Source organism: Homo sapiens, chromosome 6 (genome assembly GCF_000001405.40).
Source record: "Homo sapiens chromosome 6, GRCh38.p14 Primary Assembly".
In the NCBI taxonomy this organism is placed as follows: Eukaryota; Metazoa; Chordata; class Mammalia; order Primates; family Hominidae; genus Homo; species Homo sapiens.
The window spans coordinates 11,552,120-11,569,790 of record NC_000006.12 but is presented as its reverse complement, the minus strand read 5'-3'; the positions used below and the strand labels follow the sequence as shown (position 1 = coordinate 11,569,790).

The following is a 17,671-nucleotide window of genomic DNA, read 5'->3' as shown; positions in this document are numbered from 1 at the left end:
AACAAGGAAATGATGAATTTTTTAGTGTTTGGCATGATAAAAACTGATTTACTATATGGCAGTGGGGGAAAAAAACACATAGAATCCTATCTAATACCTAAAACAAAGGTAGACTCTATATGGAGGATAAATTATGGCCTGAATGCCCGATGCCTCTGTTGTAAATAGAAATAACGTTTTACTGAAACAGGCCATGAGCATTCATTTACATATGTCTATGGCTGCTTTTGCACTACCTTGGCAGAACTGAATAATGTGACAGAGACCACTAGCCTGCGAAATCTAAAATATTTATTACTTGGCCCTTTACAAAAATGTTTGCCACTTCCTGCTACAGGTGAATTAAAGACCTTAATACAAAAGGAAAAACTGTAAAATTAATAGAAGAAAATATATCAGAATATCTTTTGGCAATGGAATGGAGGATAACTTCTTTAATAAAATCTTTAAGTATAAACCATAAGACAAAAACCCTTTCAGTTGATCATGTCGAAACTAAGGATTTCTGCTCCGTAAATGATATCATGGATGAAGGTAACTGATAAAAGACTGAGATAAATTATTTGCAAAGTCCAAAACCAACAAGAGGTCAATATCTCTAATATATAAAAATATCTGTAACCTAATAAAAAGGAAACAAGAATACCAAAAGAAAACCACAGAATTTAAAGAAGCAATCTGTAAAAAAGAAAACCTAAATATATAATAAACATAAGAAGAGATGCTCAAATTCACTAATAATCACAGAAATGCAAATTAAACCAACAATGAGAACTTACTTTACACTTTTAGACTGGCTAAAATTAAACAGCTAAAATTAGACATTATATAGAAACCAGTTTCTCCCAATTCTGGTATTAACTAAAAACACTATATGAAAAATCACTCTAGTTTCAAAATAAAATCTAAGAAGTAGCAAAATATAATGAATATGTAACTATATTCAGTCAGCATCTTACTGAATATAGGTATTTAGCAATCAATAACTGAACTGAAGATACAGCTATGAGTGCACTAGTATTCACAACTTGTATTAAGAAAATAAATATCACTATTCACATTGGCTAGTTTTCCTAATTCACCTGTTTGCAGGTCAGATAATTAGCCAGAAAAAAATTAAATGTTTTATTGCTAATATGGACACAAATTTTTACTTGAAATTGTGTCAGACTTACATTTTTAAGGATTTAAAAATATAACACTGCAGTTTCTAAAATCACTGGCTTACTTTATTCTTGACTGAATTGAAAATGGGTTATATATACACACATATCATCAGAGATAAATGGAAGAATTCCATTTCTCATGCTCTCTTTAAACTTTTGCAATAATATATGCAAATAAATACATATATATATATACACATACCATTTAAACTTCCAAACAAGCTGCTCCTTCTTCCTTCCCCCTCTGTTCATGGTTGCACAATTACAACAGTGGCCATGTCAAAAACTACTGGCAGCCCCTTTCATATCTGTTTGTATGCCACCACAATGAATAACTAATTTAGATTTTTTGTCCTTTGTATGGTTCTTACATTAACTCCTTCCTTCCCAACCTACGGCCATTACTCTAGTTCAGAACCTGGCCTCAAGTTTAGATTACAGTTAATGCCTCTTAATTCCTCTTCCTTCCTCTTTATTCTCTCTCCCTATCCCCTCTTCTTTCTTTCCTTTCCTCCCTCTCTTCCTCTCTCACTCCTATCCATCAAACCTATATGTTTTGCATATCCATTATGTTCTAGGTACTGTTTTATTTTTGGGGATCGAGCAGTGATGAAGACAGACCAGGTCTCTGCTCTTTCAGGGTTTTCTCTTGCTTCTTTACATTAATTCTATATTCAACTATAAAACAAAATTTCCCACTGAACTGCTTGTCCCTTGCCAACTGCATTCAAAAATATCCATTTGTTTTCCATGGCCGGCAGAATAAAGCCCAAACTTCCCAGATAGCTTTCCAAGGCCCTCTGGAATCTGGCTCGGTTCTATCTTTCCTACTGAATCTGGTACTACTCCTATTAAGCAGACCATGTGCTTTAGCTAAACCTGAGTACCTGTTTAAAACCCCGTCTATGACAAAGCATATGAGGTACCATCCATATCATCAAATTATAGGTTGAATGCAGAAACAACAAAAGCAACTATAAAAACTTAACACAAGATAACAAAAAATAGCAATTGAAGGATAAGAAAACAGACTCCTCCCCATTTCCCACAAGTATTTTATGGTTGTCTTATTAGTGCCATAGGACATACCCAGGAACATGGGAGTAGGGCTTTCCTCTCAAGACAAAGGATGTCAATCACTCTGGAAAGGGTAAAGAAGGGAATCCCTTGCATCATAAAGACAAGGTTGCCTTCTTATCTCTGAGGCAAGAATCAACTAGAAAGGAAGAAGAAACTGTCAGAGAGTCCCAAAACAGATCCAGTGGTAGCAGTGAGCTGCCCCTGACATATGGGAATAGGCCAGACGTGAAGGGCAACAGACACATGTACTCTGCATTGGCAGTCACAGAATCAACAGCAGCTCAGAGAGGCACCCGGTTCCTGGCACAACCACACTAAGCAAGTAGATGTGGCACGCTCCAGTCTCAACAGGGTACACACCTAAGCTCTGCTCAACCAGTGGCTGCAGAAATTGTTACAATAGGTAGGTTGTCAGGAGTGGGGCAGGAGAGGGCTGCCCCCACCCACCAGGAATGTCAGGTGACCATCAGGTGATGGTCCGGCAGTTGTCACACTAAAATGATAATTGGTCACAGGCACCAGGGAGAGGCAATTTCCCAATGGATAAAAACACTTGAAATTGGTAACCAGTAGCTTCCAATAAAATCTCAGGAAATGCGTAAGTGGGCTCAAGCATGTGCATTAAAACAAAATGGTGGAGTATGACCTTTGGGGGCATTCCACCGGAAAACGGAAGAAAGCCTCAGATGAGCATGAATACAACTTCTTAAACACACTGCGCATGCTCGCCTCCCAAGTGTAAAGAGGACACCGCGCATGCGGGTGGCTCACCCTAAAGGAAGAATGAAGGAAAAGGGGTGCAAGACACTGGAAATGGGCCAGCAAGTCATAGCACCAAGGTTAAATGGGGCACTTGACCTCCAAAGTGCCCATTTGTGTCTCTTCCAAGTGTACTTTCCTTTCTTTCCTGCTCTAAAGCTTTTAAATTCCACTCCTGCTCTGAAGCTTGCCTTGGTGTCTTTTTCTGTCTTACACCCCTCAGTCGAATTATTTCTTCTGAGGAGGTAAGAACTGAGGCTGCTGCAGACCTGTATGGATTTGCTGCTGGTAACTTGGATACCTTCTGCTGATAACAAAACCATAAACTAATTCTTTGAAGTCAAGGCTGGAGTTTGGGCCTAAGTACAGTGTTAAACAGAGAAGTCCAGAGGGAATGAACCTGAAAACTTGTCTGAAAAAAGCTCATGAGGCAGCACAGCAGGAAACCTGCAAAGCACTAGAAGACACTCTAGCACAGCTCATTTCTAGTAGGCCATAATAATGTGTATATAAGAAGAAAGTGCAATTTTATTTTGTAGTCACAGGCAGATGACATTAAGGACCTCAGGGCTATACTTTTGCTTATGATAATTATCACTGACATATTTTTATGCCTTTGTTTTTTCCTAGAAAATGAGCAACTTGAAAGCAGAAACTATAATCACTGTGAATTTTCCCATTGACCTGCCTTGCCTCTTGCCAATTTTTATGAATTTTTCTATTTCCCTCAAAACCTTGTAAAAGGACTCTTCACACAGCAGAATTACAACGACTTGTCTGTTCAATGAATAAATCAGCTCATCTTTATCTTCTAGATGGAGTGTGTTAAGTGTTGAAAAATAATCTACATAAAAGATCTCACTAATGTTACATGTATAATAAGAACACAGCTACCAAAATGGTAAGTGTATACAAACTTACATCCTCAGACAAAAGAAAATCAACTTACTGGTAATCATCGCTCCAGTTACAGAAGCCAGAAATCCAATGCTGACTGCAATGACAGAGATGACTCTTCCCTGCCTATGCCTCTGCAGCATCACAAACATCAACACTCCTGCAGCACCATGGACAAACAGAGAAGAGAAGAGAGCCCAGAGGAAGATCCAGTACCACATCTCTGAAAGGAAAAGCAAAGTATTAATCATCTGTTGAAACACAACTTAGAAAATTCAATTTAACAAACAGTGAGCACCTATGGTTTGGGAGGTTAAATGACATAATACATAGAAAAATGCTTCACACAGTGCCTGACACAAGTAGCACTGAATACATTATAAGTTTTATCATCATCGCTGATGCCTGATGGGGAAATAATTCCTTCCATGGCTTCAAAAGGTTAACACTATACTCTAATTTCTTCTAAATGCCCCTATTACATAGCTATCATCCATCAATTTTATATTAAACCCCTGATATATTTGTAAACTTCTTAGAATTATAAAATTACTGTTTGAAATAGAATTTTTTATTTTCTACCCTAAATAGCAGTGTTAAGAATGTTTTTAACTACCTTGTAATTCTAATTCAAATCATTCCAGAAATCAGTCAATGATTTTTACCTTTTATCTTTAAGAATTTCAGTCATTTTCTCCTTGTGGCCCTGAACTTGGTATACTAAAAAATCAGTCAGATAAATTATTTGCCTCTAGTCATCTTAGTGTTCCTTATCCAGAACTTTTCAAGCTCCAATATTATCTCCCCACTGTGACCTCAATCGACTGTTCACTGACATCTCAGCTTAAGAGACAGTGGACAAGCACACTCTTCATTCTCTGTCTCACATTCATTCCCTTTCCTTCTGGCCACCCGACTGCCTCCCAGTCACTCCATATAGTTCCCACAGATGTCCTTGCACTGACTCCTTCTCCCTGACCATACTGTAGTGAGGGTGGAAAGAAAGGCAATCGATCCAAGCTGGGCCAATCGTTCCCTTCCCCTGGGACTTCTGGATTGGGACCAACTGAGTGTCCTTGCTCTTTGGGTAGCTGAAGCAGAAAGGCTCAAGATTTGTGAAGCTACTTCATCGTCGCATGATGAAAGCCACAGTACAAGAAGGAAAAAGATCCATCAAAGACAAGAGAGAATCAAGTCCCTTAATGAGTTATTTCTAAGGCCTGACTCATTACCATCCTTAGATTCAATGTCACATCCCAGTTCCCATTTAATAAAATCCCTCTTTTTACTTAAACTATTCAGATAAGGATTCTCTCACTTATACCTGAAAGAGCTGACTCTAAAATATTTAGATGTCACCTTGAGGATCATCCTTGATATGCAAACATTCTATAATACAAAGTATCTCATCTGTGATTTGGGCTAGGTAGTCACTATCAATTGTAAAAGAAAAGTCAATAAAATAGTCATTAAAGAATTAAAATGGATGAATCAAAACCTATGTATCCAAATATCATTAAACATAGATATTTACTGTTGGTAGGAATGTAAAATGATGCAGCTGCTGTGGAAAATAGTATGGAGGCTCCTCAAGAAGTTAAAAACAAAACTACCATATGATCCAACAATTCCACTTTCTGGGTATATACCCAAAAGAACTAAAAGCAGAATCTCAAAGAGATATTGGCACACCCATGTTTATCAGTATTATTCACAATAGCCAAGAGGTGATAGCAACTCAAGAGTCCCTGAATGGATAAATAAAACATGGTACACATACAACGGAAAAATTACTCAGTTTTAAAAGGGAAGGAAGGAAATCTTATCACATGCTACAACAGGAATGAACCTTGTGGACATTATGCTAAGTGAAATAAATCATCACAAATGAATACCATATGATTTTGTTGTTTTTTTTTAAGGCAGAGTCTTGCTCCATCACCCAGGCTGGAGTGCAGTGGCGTGACCACAGCTCACTGCAGCCTCCATCTCCTGGGATCAAGTGATCCTCCTGCCTCAGTCTTCCCAGTAGCTACAACTACACATGTGGGCCACCACGCCTGGCTAGTTTTTAAAAAATATTTTTTGTAGAGACAGGATCTGCCTGTGCTGCCCAGACTGGTCTAGAACCCCTGGCCTCAAGTAATTCTCCTGCCTCAACTTCCCAAAGTGCTGGGATTACAGGCGAGAACCACCACACCTGGCCTCAAGTTGTAACCTTTAAAATCAACCAGTAACCATAACCAGTGAAGTGTTTCCTTGCGTTCTATGAGCTGTTCTAGCAAATGATGAAACCTGAGGAGGGGTCAATGGGAACCCCCGACTTACAGTCAGTCACAAATATGGGAAGCGCAGACTTTCTACTGGTGTCTAAATGGGAGTCGTTTCTGGGACTGTGCCTTTAACCTGCGGGACTGGATGCTAACACCAGGTAAATGTCAGAACTGAACTGAACTGTAGGACACCCAGTTGGTATCCTAGAGAACTGCTTGGTGTGGGAAAAAAACCACACATCACTTGTCACAGAAGTGATCTGTGTGAGGGAGGAGAAAACAGTGAGTGCCTTTTCTTGGCGGGGAGGGGGGCCTGGTGTGGAGTAACCTCAGCTCACTGCAACCTCCACCTCCCAGGTTCAAGCGATTCTCCTGCCTCAGCCTCCCAAGTAGCTGGGATTACAGGTGCCCGTCACCATGCCTGGCTAATTTTTGTATTTTTAGTAGAGATGGGGTTTCTCTGTGTTGGTCAGGCTGTCTCAAACTCCCGACCTCAGGTGATCTGCCCACCTTGGCCTCTCAAAGTGCTAGGATTACAGGCGTGAGCCACTGCCCCCAGTCAACAGCGAGTATGCTTCATCAGTTATGTTTTTACCAATTTTTTTTAAAAAGTAAAAAATTTAAAAGCATGATATAAATTTGAAAAATACTTAGGTCAAGACCATAAATGACTAAGAATTTTAAAACGAAACAAAAACTCCTTAAAAAGGAAGGAGGGTATGGTTATTAAAAAGCAACATGAGTGATCTTTGTGGTAATGGATTTCTTCTTTGACTATAGTGGTGGATATACATGTAAGTGATACAATTGTATAGAACTAAATACACAATAGAGAAGAGTACAAGTGTAGAAGAAATACTAGCAAAATCTGGATAAGGTTGGTGGATTGCATCAATGTTAATATCCTGGTTGATATATTATACTGTGGATTTCTGAGATGTTCCTATTGGGTAAACTGGATAAAGGGTACATAAGCTCTCTATGTATTGGTTCTTACAACTGTGATTCTTATAATCTCAAAATAAAAGTTTAATCTTAAAAAACGAAAGAATAGAAAGATTTTTTTAAAATCAGCTTTACCCTGCCAAATTCTTAAGAACTGGCACGTAGAATGGACTCATGCAATTTGAAATTATTTCAAAGAAGATACATCTGATATATTTTACAGTGTGTGTTAAACTACCATGCATGCTTCTCAATGGCATACAAGATAGATGCTAGTGATTACGGAAATATAGACAAAACTTGCCTTTTAGAGGCTTTTCTCTTCCAGCATTCAGGGAAACAGTATTTCAGATCATTACTCTCAAACAAATGGCTTCAATTTATAATAAATACATTAAAATTTAAAAACCCCAACTTGCTCAGCAGATATTTGCATATTGAAAGATACAGTTTTCCTAAGTGAACCTAATAAAGTGAGAATATAAGGGAGTAGAATATGGGGGTGTATATTTTCATCAAGGGAGCTCTTTTCTCAACTTACCCTGAGACAAGGAAAGGCTCTGCAACAACCACAGGCTCTTCAATACAAAAGTCAACAATCCGCCTTGTACCTCACGCCCATTTAAAAAAGTTCTTATAATACAATTAGAGGAAATAATTTATTTATTGACTATATTTAACACTGTGAACAGGAAATTATCTGACATTATAAAAAAGTAGTGTTGTTTGACTACTGAATATGTAGCTATGATCTCAACAATAAATCTACCTAATAGAAGGCAAAGTAAAATTTCAGTTTAATGTTTTATAAAAACCAAAGGTATCAAAATAATCATAAAATTAAAATAGAATTTCAAATGGTCTTCCAATGACCAGTCCAGGATTATTCCTTCATCAGACTGAACATGAACAAAGTACCCTAATGTCAGATTTACTTTTATATTTCTTTCTCTCTTTTAAAAAATCATACTCTTTATGATGGAAAAAATGATAGAAAACATAACCTAACAGTTATGTTAGGTTTTGTGTTATTACTATTATTTTGAATTACCTGACAGATCAACATAACCTCATGAGTGAACAGGGACCCTAAAGATTTTGATCAACTCTGGATAAGCAAGACTTAAAGTCTAAGGCCCAATCACTATCGGCAAATACATGAAACCTACTGGATTAGTTCAGGTGAAGAGAACCGCAGGATCCTAAGGACTAGAGCAAAAGCAGATGCCCAAGGTCCTAGGAAGAACACCTAGTAAAAAGACAGGAGTGGAATATCACAGCCTTTTCTTAAACTGTCTATGCTAAAGTGAACACCCAGAGGCTCACAGTTTTCTCTCTCCACTCATACCCCACCTCATCCAAGCTTCTAGCAATTGGGTAACAATGAAGGGAGGAAGCCAGAGAGACTTTTGCTAGTGCTGAAAAAATACAAAACAAACATTTTAAAAATGTAATACAAAAAAACAACAGAAACTTTGAAGCATCTCATGCCTATAATCACCATAATTCTCTGGAAGGGAATATCCCTTCTTCCAGAACGTATCTCAGAAATTCCTTTGGTAACATTTCCCCACTCAAGACTGTCTATAATCCTCACCTTAATTTTGCCTGGATTGTTGCAGTGTGTTACTTTTTGGTGGGGTAAAAGGCAGCAGAGTTATGATCTGTTCCAGCCTCCAAACAATACTAGAAATAGCTCTGCTCCCAATCTGTAACTTTCATCAGCTCTGGTTGCCAAGCCACTAAAAAATTATCTTCTGTGCTTTTGTTTTTAATCCTTCAACAACATTATTTATGAGAAATGAATTTCTCTAGATGTCTAAAAAATACTGAGTAAAAACAAGTCAAAGAATGGTACATATTGTATAATCCTATTTGTTTAAAAAAGTACATTTTCATATCTGTATAGAAAACATATAACCAAATGGAAGAAGACCTAACAATGGCTTTTAGAGATAAGATATGAGATGAATGATATCATTTTATACATTCTTTACTATTTTAAACTGGTCTGAAATATTTTACACACATTTTTACTGCAAATATAATATTTTTAGAAATTAGTTTTTCATTTTTTTTTTTTTTTTTAAGAGATAGCAGTCTTGCTATGCTGCCCAGGCTGGACTCAAACTCCTGGGCTCAAACGATTCTCCTGCCTCAGTCTCCTGAGTAGCTGCTACTACAGGCATGTACAACTATGCCTGGCTCTCATTCTATTCTTTATCAAAGGAGAAGATTTGGGAGGCTGAGGCAGGTGGATCATGAGGTCAGGAGATCGAGACCATCCTGGCTAACATGGCGAAACCCCATCTCTACTAAAAATTAAAAAAAAAAAAAAAATAGCTGGGCGTGGTGGCGGGCACCTGTAGTCCCAGCTAGTCGGAAGGCTGAGGCAGGAGAATGGTGTGAACCCAGGAGGTGGAGCTTGCAGTGAGCAAAGACCACGCCACTGCACTCCAGCCTGGGCGACACAGCAAGACTGTCTCAAAAAATAAAAAATAAAAAATAAAAAAATAAAAATAAAGGAGAAGATGCTCTGCTAGATCAATGGTTCTCAACTTGAGCTGCTCATGAGAATTACTGCATACTGGGTATGCAGTAGAGACAGAAATCACTACTCTAGGATAAAGTTACATAAGAGGTATTTATTTAAAACTCCGAAAGTCATTAAAACAACAAAACCTATCTCATTAGACTATTTTTTTAATCCTCAAAAATACAGAGAACCCAACCTCTCTATTAAAAGTCATTAGCAAGTCAATACTGAAAACTTACTATGCACTAAACATTCTAGAAATCAAGCTGAAAATACCATTTATATATTTTATATATATATTTTTTCTTTCTTTATACCATCACCTTCTTTATAGAAATGGTCCATATTACATATTTAAATAATCTGTGTCCAAATTGGGTTATTTCAAGCTTTTTATTATACCAACAAATCTGAAGTGTAGAACTTGCACCCATTTTCTAACAGCAATGACTTCTGAATTTGGGGACATGTCCCACATAGGGGACTTACTAGACTCTCAGAGAGATGATACATTTATAATTTGGAAAAGTGCTATACAGATCAAGGGTCGGCAAAATATAGCCCATGAGTCACATCTAGTTTACCACCTGTCTCTGTATAGTCTTCGTGAATGGTTTTTAGATTTTGAAATGATTTTTTAAAATCAAGAAGCTGGGCACAGTAGCTCATGCCTGTAATCCCAGCAGTTTGGGAGACTGACTCAGGGGGACTGTTTGAGCCCAGGAGTTCAAGACCAGCATGAGGCCCTGTCTCTACAAAAAATTAAAAAATTAGCCAGGCATGGTTGTGCATTCCTGTGGTCCCTCACTACCCAGGAGGCTGAGACGGGAGAATCACTTGAGCCCAGGAGGTCAAGGCTGCAGCAGTCACCCATGATCATGCTACCACACCCCAGCCTGGGTGACAGAGTGAAACCCCGTCTCAAAAAAAAAAAAAAGAAAAGAAAAGAAAAAAATATATAAAGAACAATAATTTGTGACATGTAAAAATCATAGGAAACTCAAATTTCAGTGTTCATAAAGTTTTATTGGAACAAACTCATTCATAGTAGTCTATGACTACTTTCAAGCTACAATGGCAGAGCTGAGTAATTGAGACAGAGATTATATGGCCCATGAAGCCAAAAATATTAATATTTACTACATTTTCTATTTAAGTAAAATAAAATACTATTGCTAAAAGTAGAATACTGTATTTACAGAAAATGTCTGCTGACTTCTGGGCTGGGCTTGGCTGTCCCATCCCCCATTGAAAATTATAGTCAAGGTAGTTTCACATATTATCAAGAGTTGGCACTTTGAGTGTTCAATTAATGACATTTCAATTACATATGTTCTAATTCCTCAGTTTCTGCAGAGTACAGTATGTACGTGATGCTATGGGGTACACAGCCCTGTGGCAAGGGTGTGGGTTGTCAAGAAAGGTCCCAAGAAGAGTCATCGCCACACGTGAATTTTTAAAAAATTAACAAGATTTAAACAAATTAGATAATCATGTTGGAGGTGCGATAAGAGTGGGGAGTGGGAGGTGGGACTTGGCTGTATGCTGGAGTCACCTGGGAGAGCCTAAAATAAATGATGATGCCTTGATACCACCCCCAGACATTCTGATTTAATTGGTTTACGATGTAGCTTGGGCACTGGAATTTTTTAAAGTTGCCCAAATTTAAACGTTTCTTATGTTCCCATACAGCCAAGAATGAGAAACCACTGCTCTAAAACACAATGTTCAAATCATGAAATTGTATATAATAGAGAATATGAAATTGCAAGAATTCTGGGTTTGACTAAAACCAAAAAATATGGTAAGATGAGGCTGTAAATTACAGTGGTATGTTAGAGTCAGAGTAATTTTTGGTGAAGAAAGGGGAGAGGCTCATAGACCATATAGAATGAAGAATTTTTGTGAAAATTGAAGATTATGGGGACCCAATAAAAACTTTAAATAAAGAAGTTATAGAATCATATCTCCTTTTAAAAAGATTACTGTGGTAGATATGGAAAAGTGGGAATGGATGGAGATGAGAGACTATAAGAATATTTCAAGAGTACAAAGAGATTGGTCAGGTGTGGTGGCATAAGCCCATAGTCCCAGCTACTCAGGAGGCTGAGGCAGGAGGATCGCTTGAGCCCAGCAGTTTGAGGCTGCAGTGAGCTATGATTGTGCCACTGCACTCCAGCCTGGGCAATGGAGTGAGACCCTGTCACTTTAAAAAAAATAGTAATGATAATAAATGAATAAATAATAACCATTTTAAAGAGTACAAAGATAAATTAAGGCCTGGATTTTTGTACTGGCTTTGTGATTGAAAATAATTTGAGAAATATTTAGGAGAACTTGCGGATGGCCTGGATGATAGAGATGAGCGAGGTGTGATGTCTGGCCTCCCAGATTTCTGGTGTGAACAACTGGATAAATGATAATTCCATTAGGTTTGGGAGTATAAAAAAGTACGTTTAGTCCATCTACCATACTGTTCAAACACTGGTGAGAAGCAAGCAGTAAAGAAACTAAAAGTAGGAAAATACCAAGTACAAAAATGTGAAGATTACCTGCACAATTACATTACTGACCATGTTCTAAAAATATCTAAATTTCTTTTTTTAAATTATTTTATTTCCTTTTTTTTAATTTCTGGGGTGCATGTGCAGGATATGCATGTTTGCTACATAGGTAAATGTGTGCCATGGTGGTTTGCTACACCCAACAACCCATCACCTAGGTATTAAGCCCAGCATGCATTCATTTCAGGTTTGTAGTGTCCCCAATTTTTTCCTAAATGCATGATTTTGTAGAATTTAAAATCTATGCTTACTAAAACAGTTCAGTTATTCTATTTAAATTTTAATATAAAAATTTGCAAAAAATGTCACTCCCATCCAATGAGAAAAAGATAAAATTATACAATCGTAACTTTTCCTTAGCTCATTAGTGAGGTGAGGATGCAAAGCAAGGAGTGGGGGACATGTGTTACCTGGTAAAGCACAAGAGCAGGCAGTGGGCAACATACAAGTGGGTAAGAAGAAATCAGCTACAATTTTTACAGATTGTTAAAGACCAAGCATGGGTTAACATATCAACCTTGAGTAAATGACACAAGTGACAGACACAAATGCACACTCGCTTGCAAGTGCTTTTCCACAGGTCTCTACTGAGTGCTCCCTGGAAAGACTGGATCATAGGCTGGAGACTGGAGAGAGCCACCACTGGTGGTATAGGCCTGCGGGAGGTGACTGCTAGGGAAACACAGAAATCTTGTTTCTTGCGACCCTTCTCTTATTCAAGGCAAAACCCTTAGCCATTAGGGGAGGGCAGCAAATCCTGTCACCCTAAAGGGACAGGCAAAGCTCTAGTAGAACTCCAGTTTAGGGAAGGGTAGAAGAATAAAACCTCTATTCCTGGGAGAGAAGCAGAAAACCATCCAGGACCCAGGACCCAATTCCAAGCAGAGGTCTGTTACTGCCGATGGAAGGACGAGAAACTCCTAAGAACAATCACAAATGTAAGAAGAGTTTGGCCACCATGGTTCAGAAAGGCAGGAATGCTGACAAAGCCCCACCTCCTGAGATCCCCATACACAGAGCATGCCTAACACAGAAACAGGACAGCTCCCCTCAGGAGCCTAGCAGCAAGTAACAAGCATCAGCATTCCACCACTGGGGGGAGGCTAGTGTGTGGAGAGAGACCCCTTTTGAGGCATAGTTGTGAAGAAATGGCTAAAAGCTACAATGGAGCATTGCCACTGAGAATAACCCTGCAGTACAGAGCTCCCACCCTAAGCACAAGGCAACAACAGCAACCTTACAGAATGTGAAGCGTGCAGTGCACTGAAGGTAACCACAACAACAAAATTCAAATTCAGCTCAACTCCTAAGTAGATTAAATCAATTCTCACTATTGGTCTAACGGAAGCAACAGACCATCTCCAGACATAAACACGATGTACCTCAGTCTTTTTTTTTTTTTTTTTTTTTTTTTTGAGACGGAGTCTCGCTCTGTCGCCCAGGCTGGAGTGCAGTGGCGCGATCTCGGCTCACTGCAAGCTCCGCCTCCCGGGTTCACGCCATTCTCCTGCCTCAGCCTCCCGAGTAGCTGGGACTACAGGCGCCCGCCACCACGCCCGGCTAATTTTTTGTATTTTTAGTAGAGACGGGGTTTCACCGTGTTAGCCAGGATGGTCTCGATCTCCTGACCTCGTGATCCGCCCGCCTCGGCCTCCCAAAGTGCTGGGATTACAGGCGTGAGCCACCGCGCCCGGCCTTGTACCTCAGTCTTTAGTGAGACTTTTTCAATCAAAAAATTAAAAGAAGCACTCAAAAACAGGAAAAACAACTCACTGTTGAGAGATAAAGCAATCTACAGAACCAGAGTCAGAGATGGCCCAGTTTGTAGAATAACCAGACAGAGACTTTATAATAATTATTGTTAATATGTTAAAGTCTCTAGTGGAAGAAGCAGACAACACACATGAACAGATTGGGAATTTCAGTAGAGATGGAAATTCTGAGAGCCAAATGAAAATGCTAGAAGTTTAGAAAAAAAGATATGGCACAATTTCAAATGGTTTAACATATATGTAATTGGAGTCCAGAATAAGAAAGAGACAATGGAGAAGAAAAGATATTTGAAGGGAAAGATGCTGAAAATTTTTCAAAAATAATAAAAGTCATCAAACCACAAATCCAAGACTCTCACAGAATCCTAAGATAAATACCTCCCACTTCCAAGAACCAAAAAACAACAAAACAAAAATAAACCACGCACACACATACCTAGACACATCATAGTGAAATGCGTGAAAACCAAAGATAAAGGGAAAATACTGAGGGTAGTCAGAGGTTAAAAGACATATTACAAACAGTGGAACAAATATAAAAAGTAAAGGAAACTTCTTATCAGAAATTTCCGAGCCAGAAGACAATAGAGTGACATCTTTAAAATACTGAAAGGGGAAAAAAAAACTATAAAGACAGAAATCTATATTCAACAGAAATGTCTTTCAAAACTAAAGGTGAAATGAACATTTATTTGTCAGAAAGAAAAAAGCTCAGAGAATCAACTGCCAGAAGATCTATGCTACAAAATATATTGAAGGAAGCTCCTTAGACAGGATTATGATACCAGATGCAAACTTTACACCAAGAAATAATCAACAAAGGAGGCTAAAATGAAGGTAAACATAAAAGACATTTTCTTCTTATTTTTAATCACGCTAACATTTCAACCAGACTTAAAAATAAATTGTATTTATCAACTGGCAACCACATTTAATACATAAGTTAAAGCTACTGTAGATACTTAATAGTTTCCTACTTTTGCCTCTTAAGAGAGAGCAGAAACATTATCTTTTAAACTTAATTGTGACACCTTCAAGAGCTGCTTTAACATAGTGCCCATCTTAAAATTCATGGCAATACTGTTTATTAGCCACTTAAACCAAATTACCCTTTTGCTTGCTAATTATATAATTTCAAACTGTAAATAACAATACCCATAATTAAACAGAAGACAATTCTTAGAAAAACAGGTTTTTAATTAAAACCAATCAAAATATCATTTGCTTTAAAGAAATCAGGTTAAGGCTATTTAAAATAGTTCAAAAATTGCTCTATATTTAAGCCACAGCACTGTCTTCCTAAAAGATGCCATTCAATTTGTTCTTCCCCATAACTGATTAACTGAGTAATTAATCAATTATAATTCCAGTGATTTTTACTCAGATAAAAAGTGTAAGGATTAAATGTCAAAATCTGAATCTAGTATGAAATTATAACAGTAACCATACAATGGTTTTAATTGTTATTGTGTGCCCTCAAGTATCTTAAATTGTATGTATCATACAAAAAAACATTTTTTGATTCATGTTTGTTTGAATCACCAACCTAAAAAAACCTTCTCCATGAAGGATAAAATGTTTTACAATCTCATAATATAACATTTCCATGGGATATTTATACTAAATACTGAAAATTAAACTTTTTACACCAACGAGCATAACTTGTAATGAAATTCTCAATATAATACATTCCTGAAACTAAATATAAATAGGTAACCAAAGGAATGACCGATCAGGAAATACAAGCATAACCAGGGAAACTGCAAATAATGCAAAGTCAAGTCACGGTAATCACACCTTAAATAGCATTCAGACTAACTGTAAGGAAGTAATTATGCTGTACTGGGATTAAAAGAGAGAGAGAGATAATTTCATAACTGGAAGGAATCTTTAAATACTGAATCAAGTTTCCTAAACCAAATTTCAAGAAGGCCTAAGTCTAAGAGGTCAGAGGTGTGCAGAGAGCAAAGATTTTCTTGGTTCTAAACCTTACTCTACAAATAAGTATATTAAAAGTCTGAAGAAGTCCCACTTGAAAAAGAAAGTTGCTTAACTTGAAAGATTAAAGAAACAAGTTTATGTGCAAATGCATACATTTTTTCTTAAATCCTAGTAAAACCTCTAAACTTTTCTTAACTCATAAAATTTCTAGATCAGCTCTCCCTTAATCAATATGAAAACTATTTACATTAGATAGTATTATAAGTGAGGAAACAGGCCTGGGAAATACATGACTTGTCTAAAGTAAAAAAAACTAGCTAGTAGAAGTTGAGGCTAAAAAATTTTTTGACTCATACATTCAAGGATCCTATTACTTCTTTCAAATCTTTATTTTTAGAAAAAAATTTAGCAGAACCCCAATTATCCAAGAAGGGAGGTGGAAATTCCAATAGCTGCTCACCTAACATATTTACATAAACATTTTTAATGTTTGATTCTCCTATATACTTCAGATTTAATATAACTAAAATGTTTAGAATTTTTAAGATACAGTAGACCCTTGAACAATGCAGGTTTGCAGTGCATGGGTCCAACATACATGTGGATTTTTGTTTTTCAATTAAACATGGAGCAAAAATATTCTAAGGATGCAAAACCCACCTACAGGGAGGTTCGACTTTTCACATACATGGGTTCTGCAGGGCCACTGCAGGATTTTGGTATATGCAGCGGTCCTAGAATCAATCCCCCATATATACTTTGAGATCAAAATAGACACCTCTTTATCAACTAAGACCGAAACTAAGATTAAGGAAGCAAAGTTACCTACAGGTCAAGGGTTCAGGGCCCAGGCGGCATGGCGAATTTCTAAAGTCCTATGGCTCTAAACTCCCTGACAATAGGAGCTATCAGACCACCCCTTACTGATTTACAACCCAGACCACAACTCTGATTAGACACAGGACCAGCCTTATAAACGTTCTTTTCTGATAAGCAATTGTAGACCTTAAGCCAGTCTCTACCAGTCATACTATACCATAGAGACTGTGCACAGACTGCCTTTGCATCCCATAGTTCACCTTCTGACACAGTCAAATTCTACCTCATTTTAATGCTAAAACCTTGCCCCAAAGTAAACAGAGAATATATGTTACCCATGTTTACCCACTGAGCATGCACTCAGCTCCTCTCATAAATATGTATAGCTTTTCCCCCAAACCTGCTGAATATGTATGACTCTATTGTGTAATACAAACTCTGAGAGGCAATAAAACCCAACCTCAACTTCCCTTCTATGAAGAGACAGTGCTTTCTGCACATGCACATGGCAGAGACTGTCTCTTCCTGGTTTGCAAATTGATATTGCTGATAAAACTATCCTTTCTACTATTTAGCCAGCCTAGTGGTCTTTTGGATGACGACACTCAGGGATAACTGTATTATAATTTAGTAAGGATAATTTTCTATGGCTAATACTGCATACAAATGAAGAAAACATTCTCAAAAGATAAATTTAATATAATCTGTTAAAAGACAAGTCACTTTAAAAAAAATCTGGGTTATCATATGCTCTTGGAAATAAGTGAGTCATTTATACTGAAATTTTAATAAGTCCAAATCTCCCATATTAACTATTATACATCGTTAAGATAGCTATAAATTGATCACAAAAAATAATTTTAAAAAAATCGGGTGTTCCCAACCACTAAGCTCTCAATAACAAAATCTCCTGAAGAGT

The 17,671-nt window shown here is 37.5% G+C and overlaps 1 protein-coding gene across 2 annotated transcripts in view; it reads right to left on the bottom strand.

The window, feature by feature from the left end:
• The window catches only part of TMEM170B (transmembrane protein 170B), a 45,776-nt gene that overhangs the window by 13,734 nt on the left and 14,371 nt on the right, over positions 1–17,671 (bottom strand). For both annotated transcript variants that reach the window (XR_007059185.1, NM_001100829.3), the window contains exon 2: positions 3,955–4,125. Coding sequence is in view for 1 of the 2 variants with exons in the window: in NM_001100829.3 (NP_001094299.1) it covers positions 3,955–4,125 (171 nt within the window). In the remaining variant the exon portion in view is untranslated. The remainder of the gene's footprint in view (positions 1–3,954; positions 4,126–17,671) is intronic.